At 44.2% G+C, this 15,749-nt stretch overlaps 1 protein-coding gene and 1 pseudogene across 8 annotated transcripts in view; one reads left to right on the top strand and one right to left on the bottom strand.

Moving 5' to 3' along the window:
- The window catches only part of PDPN (podoplanin), a 34,201-nt gene extending 24,137 nt beyond the window's left edge, over positions 1–10,064 (top strand). For 4 of the 8 annotated variants that reach the window (NM_198389.2, XM_047434471.1, NM_001385053.1 and 1 more), the window contains exons 3-6: positions 2,494–2,623; positions 5,794–5,832; positions 6,407–6,512; positions 8,012–10,064. In NM_198389.2, coding sequence (NP_938203.2) covers positions 2,494–2,623; positions 5,794–5,832; positions 6,407–6,512; positions 8,012–8,018 — 282 coding nt within the window. In that variant the 3' untranslated portion in view covers positions 8,019–10,064. Of the gene's footprint in view, positions 1–2,493; positions 2,624–5,793; positions 5,833–6,406; positions 6,519–8,011 lie in introns of all 8 variants that reach the window. The other 4 variants (NM_006474.5, XM_024451404.2, XM_006710295.2 and 1 more) reach the window with 1 other exon arrangement.
- RNA5SP41 (RNA, 5S ribosomal pseudogene 41) lies at positions 15,291–15,391 on the bottom strand (annotated as a pseudogene).

A 15,749-nucleotide genomic window follows, 5' to 3' on the forward strand; every position in this document is an offset into this window, starting at 1 on the left:
CAGGAGTTCGAGATCAGCCTGACCAAGATGATGAAACCTTGTCTCTATTAAAAATACAAAAATTAGCTGGGCGTGGCTGTGTGCACCTGTGATCCCAGCTGCTCGGGAGGCTGAGACAGGAGAATAGCTTGAACCCGGGAGGTGGAGGTTGCAGTGAGCCGAGATCGCACCACTGCACTCCAGCCTGGGCAACGAGAGTGAAACTCCGCCTCAAAAAATAAATAAATAAATAAGTCAGTCAGTCTCAATTTGTTTTCTCACTATAGACTGGTAATAAACAGGACTAGAATCAGTCCACAGACCACAAGATGATAGACTATTTAGCCTCTCGACCAACACATTCTTAACCTGATGAATTTTAATTAACTCCTCATATGTGTTACATACCTACCATAGACAAGAGAAGGTGCCAGGCATTGGGAGGGATTGAGGAGGTCAATGAGCCACATCCTCGACCTTTGAGGGAATCTATGATTTCTTTGGTAACAGAACGGAGGTTCCTGCCTGCCTATCTGACCTGTACACCAGCATCTCCTTAACTTTCTCTTTTTCTGCCATCTTGGCCTTTCTGACCTTTGAACACACTAAGCTTGTTCCAACTTAGGCTTTGGTTTTCTCTGCCTAGAACACTGCCCAGATCTTTCCATGGCTGACTTTTCCTTATAATTCTCAAGTTTGATGCCATCTCAAACAGCCTAAAGTAATCTCACCCCCACATCTGTTGGAAGTAAAGCTCAGAGTCGCAGAGAAAACGAACACTTAAACAAAAGATTTTTCACCAAGGCCAATTTATTTCTGTAGAAGGTTGTTTCTCGCAGGACTGGTTGTCACAAGAGCACACCGAACAAAGGCGGGAAAGGGTTTTTTTATTCTTAATGCAGTTTGTCCCTACTACTGTGTCCATTGGCTGGAGTTGGACAGCACAATTTAAACTGAGCCCGATTGGCTAACTTGAAAGACAGTTTTGGCGGGAAGAGTCGTTACAGCGGGAGGGGTAAATTACAGAACGGCTGCCTTTTTCTTACGCATCTCAAGGTTGATGCCATCTCAAACAGCCTAAAGTAGTCTCACCCTCACCTCCATCAGAAGTCACCCTCTAGCCCTTAGGTCAGCAAACTACCCACCAGATTTGGCCCGCCCACTGTGTTTGTAAATGAAGTTTTATTGGAACACAGCAATGCCCATTCAGTTGAGAATTGTCTGGCTGCTTTCCTACTGTAAGAGTAGAGTTGATTAGTTAGAATAGAGACTGTGTGGCCTGGACAGCTGAAATATTTACCCATCTGGCCCTTTACAGAATAAATTTTCCTAAGGCTAGTCTAGTCTAGTCTAGACAAGGCTAGCTTGTATTTCTTTCAAAGCACTCAAAATCATATCAAACCACCCTTTGTACTTATTTACCTACTAAATGTTCATATTCTGCTACCCCACCCCAGAATGCCAGCTTCAAGAGAGCAGAGAATTTATATTATTCACATTATAGTCCCAGGGCTTGGAACCATGCTGGGCCCATAGGAGGTGCTCATTAGCATATGTTTTTTATTGTGGTTAAAAAAATAACATGAAATTTATCATCTCAACCATTTTTAAGTGTACAATTCAGTAGTGTTAAGTATATTCACATCATTAAACCGATCTCCAGAACTTTTCATCCTGTAAAACTGAAACTCTATACCCATGAAACAATAACTCATTCTTCCCTTCCCCCAGCCCCTGGCAGCCACTGTTCTACTTTCTATCTTATGAATTTGACTCCTCTAGGCACCTCATGTAAGTGGAATCATATAGTACTTGTCTTTTGTGACTGGTTTATTTCACTTAGCATAATGTCCTCAAGGTTCATCCATGCTATGGCATGTGTCAGAATGTTCATCCTTTTTAAAGCTGAACAGGCTGGGTGTGGTGGCTCACGCCTGTAATCCTAGCACTTTGGGAGGCCAAGGCAGGCATCACCTGAGGTCGGGAGTTCGAGGCCAGCCTGACCAACATGGAGAAACCCCATCTCTACTAAATATAGAAAATTAGCTGGGTGTGGTGGCGGGCGCCTGTAATCCCAGCTACTCGGGAGGCTGAGGTAGGAGAATTGCATGAACCTGGAAGGCAAAGCTTGCGGTGAAACGAGACTGCACCATTGCACTCCAGCCTGGGCAACAAGAGCGAAACTCCATCTCAAAAAAATAAAAACAAAAAATAAAAAAATAAAGCTGAATAACGTTCTGTTGCATGTATAGACCATACTGTGTATCCATTCTTCTGTCTGCAGACGCTTGGGTTGCTACCACTTTTGGCTGTTGTGAATAATGCTGCTATGAACATGTGTGTACAACCGTCTCTTCAAGATCTAATTGTTCTGTTCATTTTCTTCTACTTGCAATTCATGCCATCATATGTTCCATATTTTTATGCCACCTTAAATCCTTTTATAAGGCAGGGGATATATTTTAAAGACAGTAGGCTTTATTTCCTGTTTTTCCTCATTTACACCTACAATAGGTGGCAACAAGTGTCAACAGTGTAACAGGCATTCGCATCGAGGATCTGCCAACTTCAGAAAGCACAGTCCACGCGCAAGAACAAAGTCCAAGCGCCACAGCCTCAAACGTGGCCACCAGTCACTCCACGGGTAAGAAAACCAGCCACCTCCATGGGGGCTGATCTACTTTTGCATAATTGGTGCATTCCAAAGTCCATCAACAAATAGAATAATCAATAGGGGGCATATTGGGATGCAAGAGTGACTTCTGAACCAAGCTTTATATGGTAGGTTCAGAATTCTATTTCAATTGATACATTTGGTTTAGTGGGTTGCTGAACGTACCTCTCTACCTAGAATAACTAGTGATAACACCTGCACAGGGTGAGTTAAGTAGCTACTGAGATTGCATGGCGGACTCCAAGTGGATAGAATGTGACGTGAAGAACTTTGTGTTGACACCCAAGGGCACGACACTCAGCCATCCTCTGTAAATCTTAATAGATTCTATATGAATACTTAGCACGTTACCTTGAGTTCATGTCTGCATGCATGGTGCAAGAATCTGTTCTCCGCCTGGCGCGGTGGCTCACGCCTATAATCCGAGCACTTTGGGAGGCTGAGGCGGGCGGATCACAAGGTCAGGAGATCAAGACCATCCTGGCTAACACGGTGAAACCCCGTCTCTACTGAAAATACTAAAAATCAGCCGGGAGTGGTGGCGGGCGCCTGTAGTCCCAGCTACTTGGGAGGCTGAGGCAGGAGAATGGCCTGAACCCAGGAGGTGGAGCTTACAGTGAGCCCAGATGACGCCACTGCACTCCAACCTGGGCGACAGTGCGAGAATCCGTCTCAAAAAAAAAAACAAAACAAAAAAACAAACAAACAAACAAAAACAAGCTTTTTTTTTGTACCCCCATGTTTATAGCAGCATTATTCACAATAGCTAAAATACAGAAACAACTCAAGTGGCCATGGATAGTTGGATAGATAAGCAAAATGTAGTGTATATGACGGAATATTATTCAGCCTTGAAAATGAAAATGCAGACACATAATACAACATGGAGGAAACTTAAGGACATTATGCAAAGTGAAATAAACCAGTACAAAAAAAAATACTGCATGTCTCTACTTATATGAGGCCCCTTGAATAGTCAAATTCATAGAGACATAAAGTAGAGTGGTGGTTTGCCAGGGGCTGGGGGAAGAGGAGAATGAGGAGTTACTGTTTAGTGGGTAGAGTTCCAGTTTTGCAAGATGAAAGGGGTTCAGGAGGTGGATGGTGGTGATGATTGAACAATAGTGTGAATGTACTTAATACCACTGAACTGTACATTTAAAAATGGTTAATTTAGTACATTTTATCCTGTATGTTTTACCACAGTGTTGGCGGGGAGTGGGGGGAACCTTATAAAGGGCTTTGAGATAAAACCTGAAGCTCACTCCAAGCTGTTAAAGAAATGGTTAACATTTAAACACCAGAGAAAGCCAAGTTGAGCTAAGCAAAGAAAGAATAATCAATATAAATGATCATTGGAAAACATTTCAAAATTTTGGAGAATTGCTCATTTGTAACGTGGGTTGACAGCTAATTAGCAGCAGAAAATTCTGCCATCCATGTTGAATATTCTGTCATACTTCATACTCATTTTCTGTTCCTTTAAAAAAATTCTCAGTTGCCTGGGAAGTAACTCATGTTACTGTTTCTTCCTGTCCCCTGCCCCACCCTGTCACAAAATTGCCCCTTCCTGTCACAAAAAAATTGTGACTGAGTGCACATTCCTACTTAATACATCGTTATTCCAAGACATTTTCACATGTGAGCCAAAATGTCATTATAAGCACTCAGTTTTGAAGGGGTAATTTTATTAGGGCAGCAGATGTTCGGTTTTGCTGTGAAACACCCAAATACGATGACGTGCACATGTATGATGCATGCTTATGATCACAGTGCCATTGGGAGGGAGATGGGAAATATGGCACTAATAAGCTCTAATTTAGTAACAAATCCTCCACAAACTTTAGTAATATATTTTCTAACCAATGGTGTCTTTGATAATGGTATATTAAGAGCCTGGAATCAGCTGCCACGTGGTAGGACGTGATAAGCAAATGATTGACTTATCTCTTCGGGCAGTTGACTTCTATCAGTGACATTTGGGGAGTTGATTTGATACCGTCTTTGTTCTGGGAAAGCTCAAATCCAGCCGTGTCCTATATGGTGGGGTAGCACAGTCAGCATGAGCTCTTACGTGCTCTATACCCATGGGCTCAGCTTGTGCAGGGAGTGCTGGTTTCTGGGACCTCTACCCTGGGGCCATCTTGTGGAGGCGCCTTGTGCTGAGGAGAACCTTGGCACAAAAGGGATGGTTTTCAAACCCAACCATTAGAAAAAGTAGGCATCTTTTACATGATAGTTGGCTAGTTTTACCACTGATTAGGGAAGCTACTGGATATCTGGGGTATTTTGCAAGCTGTGAACTAAGATTTTAGGGCAGGGCCTGATTGATGATTAACTTCTAAATCAAGGCATCTTGACTTTTTCTCTATCTGCAAACTAGTCAATAGCCACCACCCAGAGGAGTTAAGGACTCGTTATATAAAGAGGTCAAGAAGAAAAGACATTTTTATTTTTAAATAGGTTATTGCATAAAATTATTCAAAAGAAACTCACAATGACAAATACTCACCTTGTAACTATTAGACTGGGTTTGACTGCAGATAGAGACCCTAAAATAACAGTGGCACAAACACAAAGGGTATATTTGCTCATGAAACTTAGCTGGGCCTATTGTTGCCTTGTAAAAATTTGGATTTTGCTACCAAAGAAGTAGCAGGAAATAGATATTGAGACTAACCACAATCTTGGTCACATCTTCCCAAACTAAAGTATTAATCTCAAAGTGAGTAATACCTCTTCACAGTCTGTCCCTTCTCTGTGATCTTGACATTGGACTAAGAATCCACAGCTCTGGATTCTTCTGCTACCTTAACCTCTGATACTCCTTGATCATTTATTTAAGATCTTTGTGGCTCAGTTTCCTTTACTCTGCTTTCTAAACTATAAAATTAATACGTAGAAAAGTGCTATGAACCCATTGGTGTGAATAAGGGTTCATAAATTAGATAATAATAGTTACAAAGACAGTGCCACATCGGGGCTTGTTTAAAAATCCCTGGATCCAATTTATTTAAGAAGCCATCCTCTTGGTTTATGTTTTGCTGCTTTCCACTTGGGTAAATTCATCTTTTGCCAGTTGTTAAATTATAGTTATTAAACCCTAATAATTCTACATTATTATATCTTTCTATTCACAGAGAAAGTGGATGGAGACACACAGACAACAGTTGAGAAAGGTAGGCTAGATTTTGGCATCAAAATACTCTTACTGGGGTTTTTTAAAAATTTCTTTGAAGCTAATTGTTGAGACGAATTGCGTTCTTTTCTGGATTGCAGTCAATGAGAGCAGAATAGAAAACATTCCGAGAACAGATTTCAAGCTTTTTTTTTTTTTTTTTTTTTAAAGAGAGAAAAGGGAATTTCTTGTATTTGAAACTAAGCAAACCTCAGATGAGTCTATTCCCTTAATGTCAGATATGGGGAATGGTGTCATATCACAGTTCATCATTACTAAGGATGAAAATAGGGGCCAACTTAATAGTCATACGTAAACACTACCCAAAAATTAACACTTAAGCCAATGTGAATGTTACGTTGATAGATCCTCAGACCCAGAAATCTTCCCATTTGTAAAATAGGATTAGACTAGCCCAAATTTTCTCCTTTTGGAAGAAATGCTCCATGCTCAAACAACATAGAGCAATATTTGCTATGTGCAGTAGGGCAGTGGCTTTGTTTATATGTTACATATTTTATCACCGATGTATTTTTTCCTCTGGGGCTCATGCTTTTTTTCTCTCTCTTGTTCAGATGGTTTGTCAACAGTGACCCTGGTTGGAATCATAGTTGGGGTCTTACTAGCCATCGGCTTCATTGGTGCAATCATCGTTGTGGTTATGCGAAAAATGTCGGGAAGGTACTCGTAAGTAAATAGCTTACACCCATGTGATAGGCAAATGAAAGCCATCGTGTCTAGAACTCAAATCTTTGAACTAATAGAAATCTCTGATATAAGCTGGGTGTGGTGGCTCGTGCCTGTAGTCTCAGCTGCTGGGCACCTGCAGACCAGCCTGGGCAACATAGTAAGACCCTGTCTCAAAAAAATAATCTCTGGTACAATGGTCATGTTCCAAAGTTCCTTACTTGGGCCTCTTGAGTGCAGTGGCTCACACCTGGAATCCCAGTGCTTTGAGAGGCTGAGGCAGGAGGTTCACTTGTGCCCAGGAATTTGAGGCTGCAGTGAGCTATGATTGTGCCACTGCACTCCAGCCTGGGTGACAGAGCAAGACTGTGTCTCTTAAAAATAAGAAAGAGCCTCTTCATCTTCAAAAGGACTACATCTGAAGTTTCCCCAGAAGGACAAATGTCTACTTAGACCTTATAAATTTCCAAAATAAGAGAGTCAGAGCCAGAGGTGGCTTGTAAGTTGACTTCTGTTGAGATCTGACCACATTTGATCTCTTGTTTTAATTTTCCAACTAACTGAACTTGGAAGAAAACCCAAACCAAGTTTTAATCTGATGCCTAATCAGCCCGTCTCCAACCATCAGAGAAAAGGCTTCTAGAAAACCGCCTGTCACAGAGTCGGCAGCCCATTCGGATTAGGAGTTCCACTGAGGATGGGGTCTTTTTCATTGAGATCTTCCGCTCTTGCCCTGCGTGCACCCACATACGTGGTCATAGACTCCTAGCTTTGACTGTTGTTGAAGGGAAGGAGTTTTTTCTCCTTATTAAGCTTCCTTAAGAATTCAGAATATCTACACTCATGGCCAGAGGAAACCTTTTTCTTTCTCTTTCTTTTTCTTTTTCTTTTTTTTTGAGACAGTCTTGCTCTGTCACCAGGCTGGATGGAGTAGTGCGATCTCGGCTCACTGCAACCTCTGACTCCCAGGTTCAAGCGATTCCCCTGCCTCCGCCTCTCAAGTAGCTGGGACTACAGGCATGCACCACCACACCTGGCTAATTTTTTGTATTTTTTAGTAGAGATAGGGTTTCACCATGTTGGCCAGGATGGTCTCAATCTCCTGACCTCGTGATCCACCCACCTCAGCCTCCCAAAATGCTGTGATTACAGGCATGAGCCACCGCACCCAGCCAAAAACCTTTTTCTTATATGAGTTGGAGGGATGATATATGATGGAAGGGAGGGGAGAGGACAAGTGATAAACACCTGGAGGGTTGAGGGATACAGGGGACAACACAGCTGTGGACTTAGCGTGTTTGGAAAAGCCAGGCAGTTTGACCCTGCTGTGTGAGGACGAAGGCATGGAGGAGGAATGTCAGGAACAAGAGATGATCACCAGGTGTCAGAACTTGGAAGATTTAGAGCAAAGGACAATAGGAAAAAGGACTCACGGAGTTACTATTCACAATGCCAGTAAGAGACACGACCGTCACCCTTCTCTATTTTCACAGGCCCTAAAGAGCTGAAGGGTTACGCCCTGCTGCCAACGTGCTTAAAAAAAGACCGTTTCTGACTCTGTGCCCTGTCCCTGAGCTCGTGGGAGAAGATGACCCGTGGAACACTTGCCTGGCCCACTCAGAATCCACGGTGACCTCTCCGCTTGCCAAAATAACCGAAGGAAAGACCGTTCACCAGACTTGGCTCCTCTAAACATTTGCTGTTCAAACATGTTTTTGAATATACATTCTATAAAAGATTATTTGAAAGACAAAATTCATAGAAAATGGAGCAAAACTGTATAAACTGATTTGTAACTAACACTGGACCATTGGATCGATATTATATGCTGTAACCATGTGTCTCCGTCTGACCATTCTTGTTATTGTTAAAATGCAGAGGAATCTGGAAATATTTATATCCACGGAGTCCTTGGATCCAGTGCTACGTCAGTAAATAGCACCAGCATTTTGCAATTGCTGATCTGCTGAAATGTACACATTCTGGTCTAGTTTGGTCTATCTTTTAAAGCCTGATCTGGTGTGAATAATCAACTAGGAAATCTAAACTTGGATAACACGTGGTGAACAACTGCCTTTAGCTGGTCCAGATTAATCATTTCAAAGACATCCATTTTAGATCACAAGCAGGAAGTCGATAGTCTCAAAGGCACTTTGTTTCTCCCAAGTAGGCCACCAGGCAGCCTCTAGAGTTGCTTTACCCAAATCCTTCTCCAGCCATGACTTGGTGACTCTAAGCTTGCTCCCACCTGCCCCCTCCACTTCCCTCAGATGATGAGGAGCCAGGGCTAAGGGGGCAGCCTTCTCTCTTCCCAGTGATGCACATCCTTCACATTGGCTGCTTTGTTCTGGAATATGGATATCTCAGCCTGGATGCCGAGGAAGCTGCTGGATGCTTAATGGTGCTAGAGGCTCAAGTGTGTTTGAAACCAAGAGCCAGTTGTCCCCCATGCAGAAAGAAATCCTGTGTGAGCCTCTGGTATGAGAAATAAAATCTGCCAGTTTTATAACATTCACTTTCTGCCTCTGAGGAAAGATACAGGGAACAAAAATCAATTTGTACAGTCTTAATATTAAAAGCAGCTTGACTAAATACCTGATTTAAAAATAGAAGACATCCCCAGTCCTCATGACATACCGCAAATATCTGTGGGGTCCTGTTGAAAAGAACAAAATAAAGGAGCCCAAGGGGTCATTCTGTCTCAGCACCATCCAGCCTGGCACTTCTCTTCCCATATATCCATTGGATTTTTTTTTTTTTTTCCTAAACAAAGTTTTTACACTGAGCAGATGCTCTGTCATGATGGCGGTTGTGCAATTCTGGTATCCTCTAAATTTGTAAGCATTCATAAAACAGGAAAAAGTAAACTATCATTCGGAAGCACAGCCCATTCCTCCCATTTTTTGCAATGATGTCTGGATGTTATTTTAAACAGTGTGTCTGTGTGTTCCCAAATCCAGCTGGCCCCACCAGCTCAGATTCCATTTTTTTTGTGTGTGTGTGTGAAACGTAGTCTGCAACTCTGCCTCCCGGCAATTATACATGTGTCAGGATGTCAAAAAGCAATTCTCCTGCCTCAGCCTCCTGAGTAGCTGGGACTACAGGTTCCTACCACCACACCCGGCCAATTTTTGTATTTTTAGTAGAGATGGGGTTTCACCGTATCGGCGAGGATGATCTCTATCTCTTGACCTCGTGATCTGCCCGCCTCGGCCTCCCAAAGTGCTGGGATTACAGGCGTGTGCCACTGCGCTCGGCCTCAGATTCCATATTTGAACACCAGCTGATTGAGAGAAGGGGAATGAGAAGAGCTGGATGAGTTTAAATAACTCATTGTTCAGATTCCTGAACAGGAGTTGGGATAATGGCCATCTTTTCTTTCCTATCCTTTCTTCCCCCCTCACTGTGAAAAATAACAGTCCACCCCAAGTCATACACTGGACCCAGTGCCTGCGGGGACAGGACTGTGGGTTTCTTGGTCACACCTGTGTTGGTGCTCAATGCAGTGTAGACATGTTTTCAAATAAAACAAATGATTGTGTACAACAATGAGTCAGACTTTTGTTGGAAAACACAAGTCTGGGCCACACTTGGGAACATCTCCAGATAAGATTACAACTTAGGTAAATGCCTGCCTGTTGCCTTGCTTGAGAGTGGATTATAGATGGCCAGGGGAATGAATTCCACAGGAGGAAAACACACCTACACCTTTCAGCTAGGTCTGCCAAAGTAGAGAGGTCAAGTAGAAGCATGGGCATGGGAGACACGTGGCACCTGGGGGCTCTCTCCCTCTCTGGTCCCAAAGGGTTAATGAGGTTTTCCCTGATTTTTTCTGTTTTGTTTTGAGATGGAGTCTCGCTCTGTCGCCCAGGCTGGAGTGCAGTGGCGCGATCTCGGCTCACTGCAGCCTCCACTTCCTGGGCCCAAGCAATTCTGTCTCAGCCTCCCAAGTAGCTGGGACTATAGGCGTGCACCACCACACCCACCTAATTTTTGTATTTTTAGTAGAGACGGGGTTTCACCACATTGGCCAGGATGGTCTTGATCTCCTGACCTCGTGATCTCTCCCTGCCTCGGCCTCCGAAAGTGCTGGGATTACAGGTGTGAGCCACTGTGCCCAGCCACCTGATTAATTTCTCAGCACTGGAGGGTAAAACCAGGTGAGGGGGCAATTTCATCTTGCCCCTGCTAGTCCTCCCTAGAAACCTCACCTCAGGAGAGGTGAATCCCTGTTGCTGGGGGACGCCCCACGGTTCCTTGCTCACCCCGACTCTGTCTGGAGATTGCCCTGGCCAGCTCCTGGGTGGGTGCTGCAGATCTCCTCCTCCCGACCCCACCGCACCACTCCATGTGGATTTATCCTCCTGATGCGGGTCCCTTCCCTGCCAGCGTAAGGATCAGGTGCTAGGAGCGGGAGAGCAGTTAGCCCCATGACTTCCTCGAAATAAATATTCAATATTGTTAAATTAGGACTGTTGAATTTGTCCGTTGTCAGTAATCCTGGGTGCCCATTTGAGTTCCAAACAAGGAACCATATTGTATGCCTGTAGTTCCAGCTGTTTGGGAGGCTGAGGTGGGAGGATCGTTTAAGCCAGGAGTTCAAGGCCAGCCTGGGCAACAAAGTGAGAGCCCCATCTCTTAAAAAATGGACCAGGGTTCTAGTCCTGTTCTGCTCCTCCACACCTGTAACCCTTCAGGGAAGTCATTTAACTTCTTTGGGCTGCAGTTTCTTCTAAGAACTTTCATGAGATGTCAGAAAGCATCCCTTTTCTAGCAGGAAACTAACCACGTCTACCTAGTCCAACAGATTGAAAGAGAACGGACCCTCAACTATGTTACATGTAAATTTACATTCCATTACATGCCACCCCCAGGAGATGACTGGAAACTGGGGGAGCTGCCAGGGTTCTGAAAGTTTAGGGAAACAGCTCTATCAGAGACATCTGGGAGCAGGGGGTGCTGAGGTTAGCTCTTTGCATGATATAAAGGCCTTGTTTTTAACCCCTACTTTTTCCCCTCAACCTGGGAAAACCAGTTGAAAAACCAGGGCTTAGTTCTGCTTCATGGGCCACCTTCAAGGCTTGGCTTTCATGAATAGGAAAGAGCAAGGAACTGTTAATCCCTTTGCTGTCTCTATTTTTATTTTAATTCAGATTTATTTAGTATTCAGGGCATGGGGCAGTTTGTGACATGCTTCGATTGGGGAATGGTGCACGTTTTGATATTAAAACTTTTGCCAATTAAAAGTCCATTGGAAGTGGAAAAAGAATCCTCCCCAAAATATAGCTGCATGTTAACACATGCACTAAAAATAGAGTCATCCCCTTGTGTGCGCTGGAGGACTTGTTCCCTGAAACATTGCCTTTTTCTTTGCTCTTCCTGAAGCTTAAAATCGGGTTAGAACATATAATAGATCCTGGATTTTTCAACTCAGTAAATATAAATGATGTAAGTGTGGTTATTGGTCAACAATGCAGAATGAGTCTAAAATCACACTCACTGGTGTGAATGGGAGTTTTTTTGGCTCAGGGGCCCAGCATGCAGGTACGTACCTGGTACAGGCAAAGCCAGCCTGAAAGCACTAAACACTATTCCTCAGCACTGTTTCTTACTCTGAGATTATTTTATCAGATGCTGACTCAAAGCACAGCGTGTTCTATTTCTACATCCAAGGGCTCCGGGCCATAGTACAGACAGTCCTATGCGTGGTTCTGAGACCTTGCTCCTCCTCCCATTTTTTCTTTCCTACCTCCTTCTCTACTGCTGCCTCTGCCTTTCCACTGATGCAAATTTTTGAGAAAACAATCACGTGCTGGTCACATACCAGGGCGATCAGCAAATGTTTCTGAAGTGACGGCTTCCCTCTGGATGCTGCTGAAGTAGTCAAAGAGGTCGTCTGAAATATTTGTTTGAATAAATGAGCTTACGGTCCTCCGCATGTAACCTCAGGAAGGTGTGCAGGTGTCCTGACCGAAGCAGGAGGTGGACCCCTTCCTGTTGCTCCTGTTCCCACCCTTCCACAGAGCATCTGTAGGTGAGGCTGGATCTGTGGATGGCCCAGGGCTCACTGGAAAGGGAGTAGGATTCTTGTCCAGCAAGATCCAGAAACAAAAGACACTCCCTTGGGTATAACTGCTGAAGAACTCTCATGGGACAGGAGTAATCTGTTCCTTCATTTATTTATTCATTCAAATATTTATGTTCAGGCCCGTCCCAGGTGCTGGGAATCCATAGTGCATGAAACCAACAAAAATTCCTGCTCACATAGAGCTTACATTCTAATGCTGGAGACTGCAAAAAAAAAATAAGTAAATCATAAGAGTGTGAAAATGAGAGACAATGGAGAAAAACACAGCAAGGAGAGGAAGTTCAAGTTTGGAGGAGCTGCAGCATGGAGTCTGGGGTGGGAGAAGGCCTCTCTGAGAGTCAAGCCATGTTCCTGAAGTGGCACGGCGAGGAGTGATCCTGATGGGTACCTGAGGGAAAAGTATTCTGGGCAAAGGGCATAGCAAAGGTCTGAGGCAGGAGCACCCTTGGCATGTTTTAGGGAATGCAGGGAAGCTCAGAAGGCTGGAGCAGTCAGCGCAGGGGACCATGGTAGGAGATGACGTCAGAGAGGTGGAGTGCCCTTGGAAATGGGGAGCCATGGGAAGCTTTTGAGCAGAGGAGTGACATGATCTGACTTACATTAAAAAAAAAAAATCCTCACCTCTGGTTGGGAACTGGCCAGTGTGAGAATCCAAGCAAGAGATGATGGCAGTTCAGACCAGGATGATAGCAGTGGACGTGGTTTAAGGTGGTCTGGTTCTAGTGATAATTTGAATGAAGTCAACAGAATTATCTGATAGATTGGATGTGGGATATGAGAAAAATGGGAGGGTCAAGGTGACACTAAGGATTTTGACTTGGGCAACTAGGATAATGGAGTTGCTATCAGTTAATAGGGCAAGGCTGTGGATGCTGCAGGCTTGATAGGGCAGAGTTGGAGTTCTGTGTTGAACATGCAGAATTTGAGCTGAGTACAGATATCCAGCTGGGGGTATGAAGCAGGCAGTTGGGCACATGAGTCTAGAGTTTAAATGAGAGTTGACTGGAGACATAATTTGGGACTTGCTAGAACCTAACAACCATGATGCTGATGAGCTCACCATGGGCAGAGTATAAATAGAGAAAGGCAAGTCCAAGAACTGAGCTTTGGTGTACCTCAAGGTTAAGAGTCAGGGATATGCAGAGAGATCACCAAAGGAGTCTCCCACCATGGATTGGATGAAATACATTTCAGGATTAGCCATTCCTGTTGTTCTCTTCCGTACCATCTCACAGTCTTCTGATTAAAAATCCAGCTTCCGGCCGGGCACGGTGGCTCACGCCTGTAATCCCAGCACTTTGGGAGGCCAAGGCGGGCAGATCACGAGGTCAGGAAATCGAGACCATCCTGGCTAACACGGTGAAACCCTGTCTCTTCTAAAAATACAAAAAAAATTAGCCGGGCGTGGTGGCAGGCGTCTGTAGTCCCAGCTACTCGGGAGGCTGAGGCAGGAGAAGCACTTGAACCCAGGAGGCAGAGGTTGCAGTGAGCCAAGATCGCGCCACTGCACTCCAGCCTGGGCGACAGAGCGAGATTCCATTTCAAAAAAAAAAATAATAATAATAATAATAATAAATAAATTAAAAAATCCAGCTCCCCAAGTAGCTTAATACTGGAACGAGGGTGTCCTGGATAATGGACACAAATATTCCCACCACTGGAAAATATTATTAGTTGAAAATTACTAACTTGACATTTGGGGTTATAATCAGTTTCTTATGAGTTGATTGGCATGAGTTAGGTCCTAGGACCTGCTCAACCCCGGTTACTGTTATGCAACTAGGATTTTAAAACTATAAATCTTCAGGCCAGAATGATGACCACATCAAAATCCTCCTGCATGCTGGGCGTCCAACTCTCTTCCCTAGACAGCACTTCTATTGTAAGTCCCAACTATAATGGTTCCTACTGACCTCTCAGTTTAGCATCCATCCGCTGCACTGAGTTGCTCTGATCAAGCTTCCGAATGACCTCCTGTATGTCAATTCCAGGCCCTCTTCTTGGTCTTGTCTTCATTCATCCTCTGCAGCCATCAGCCCTGTTTTTGGTCCCCTTCTTGAAGCCGTCTTCTCTCGCTTGGCCTGCATGACATGCTCCCTTATTGGTTGCCCTTCCTGGTTCTCTGCAAGCTGTTCCACTGGCTCTTTTCTTCACTTCCCCCTCTTTGCTCACAGGCATGCTTCAGGCTTACTTTTTGCTTCTCTATGGTCTTTCCCTTGGAGAACTCATCTATTCTTAGAGCTTCAAATGGCATAAGCTCCAGAAGAGCAGGCATCTGTTTGGTTCTCGGCTACATCCTTGGTCCCTGCAGCAGTAACTGGCACATAACAAGTGAACAGTGCCTCCCCCTTTACATGTGCGCCATCAGCCTCCTAATTCAGATCCTCAAGCAAAATCTCATCACAATTGCAAACTTACATGCCCACATCCCCTCCTCCAATCTGATCTGCATTCTACCAATGGGATCTTCCTAAAATGTACTTTTTTTGTTTGCACATGTCACCACATTCTAAAAGTGATCCAGTGATTTCCTACAAAATAACTTGATGGTCAAGGGCTTCTACACTTTTTTTTTCCCTTAAGAGATAGGGTCTTGCTATGTTGCCCAGGCTGGATTTGATCAAACTCCTGGACTCAAGCAATCCTCCCACCTCGGGGTCCTGAGCAGCTGTGACCACAAGCATGCACCACAGCACCCAGTGGCTGATATACTCCCATCCAAGTACCAGCCAGGTCTGACCCTGCTTAGCTTCTGAGACGCATCCAGAATGGTATGGCCGTAGGCGCCGGCAGCTTCTATACTTTATCATGGGGCTGATATCACATTTGTACCTCCACTGTAGTCAAGTGAAAAGAGCATGGCTCTAGACCCTGGCTATTGCAGCTTTGGTTCCAGGCTGTCCTACTTCCAGTGTGGAGGAAATTGCTTAACGTTTTTACGTCATCGCACTCTTGATTTAAAGGAACCAAGACTCAGAAAGAAAGCATCTTTATGCAATGTTATGTGTTACATATATACACATTCCCATGTGAAAACATGGGAAATAAATCCTACGGGAACCCCCAAGCAACCACATAGCTCAGCCTACAGGAACTGAGAGTTTTCTACACAGCACTGGACTCTGGATTATCTTGACACCTCT

The sequence above is a fragment of the Homo sapiens genome, chromosome 1 (assembly GCF_000001405.40).
Source record: "Homo sapiens chromosome 1, GRCh38.p14 Primary Assembly".
NCBI classification, from domain to species: Eukaryota; Metazoa; Chordata; class Mammalia; order Primates; family Hominidae; genus Homo; species Homo sapiens.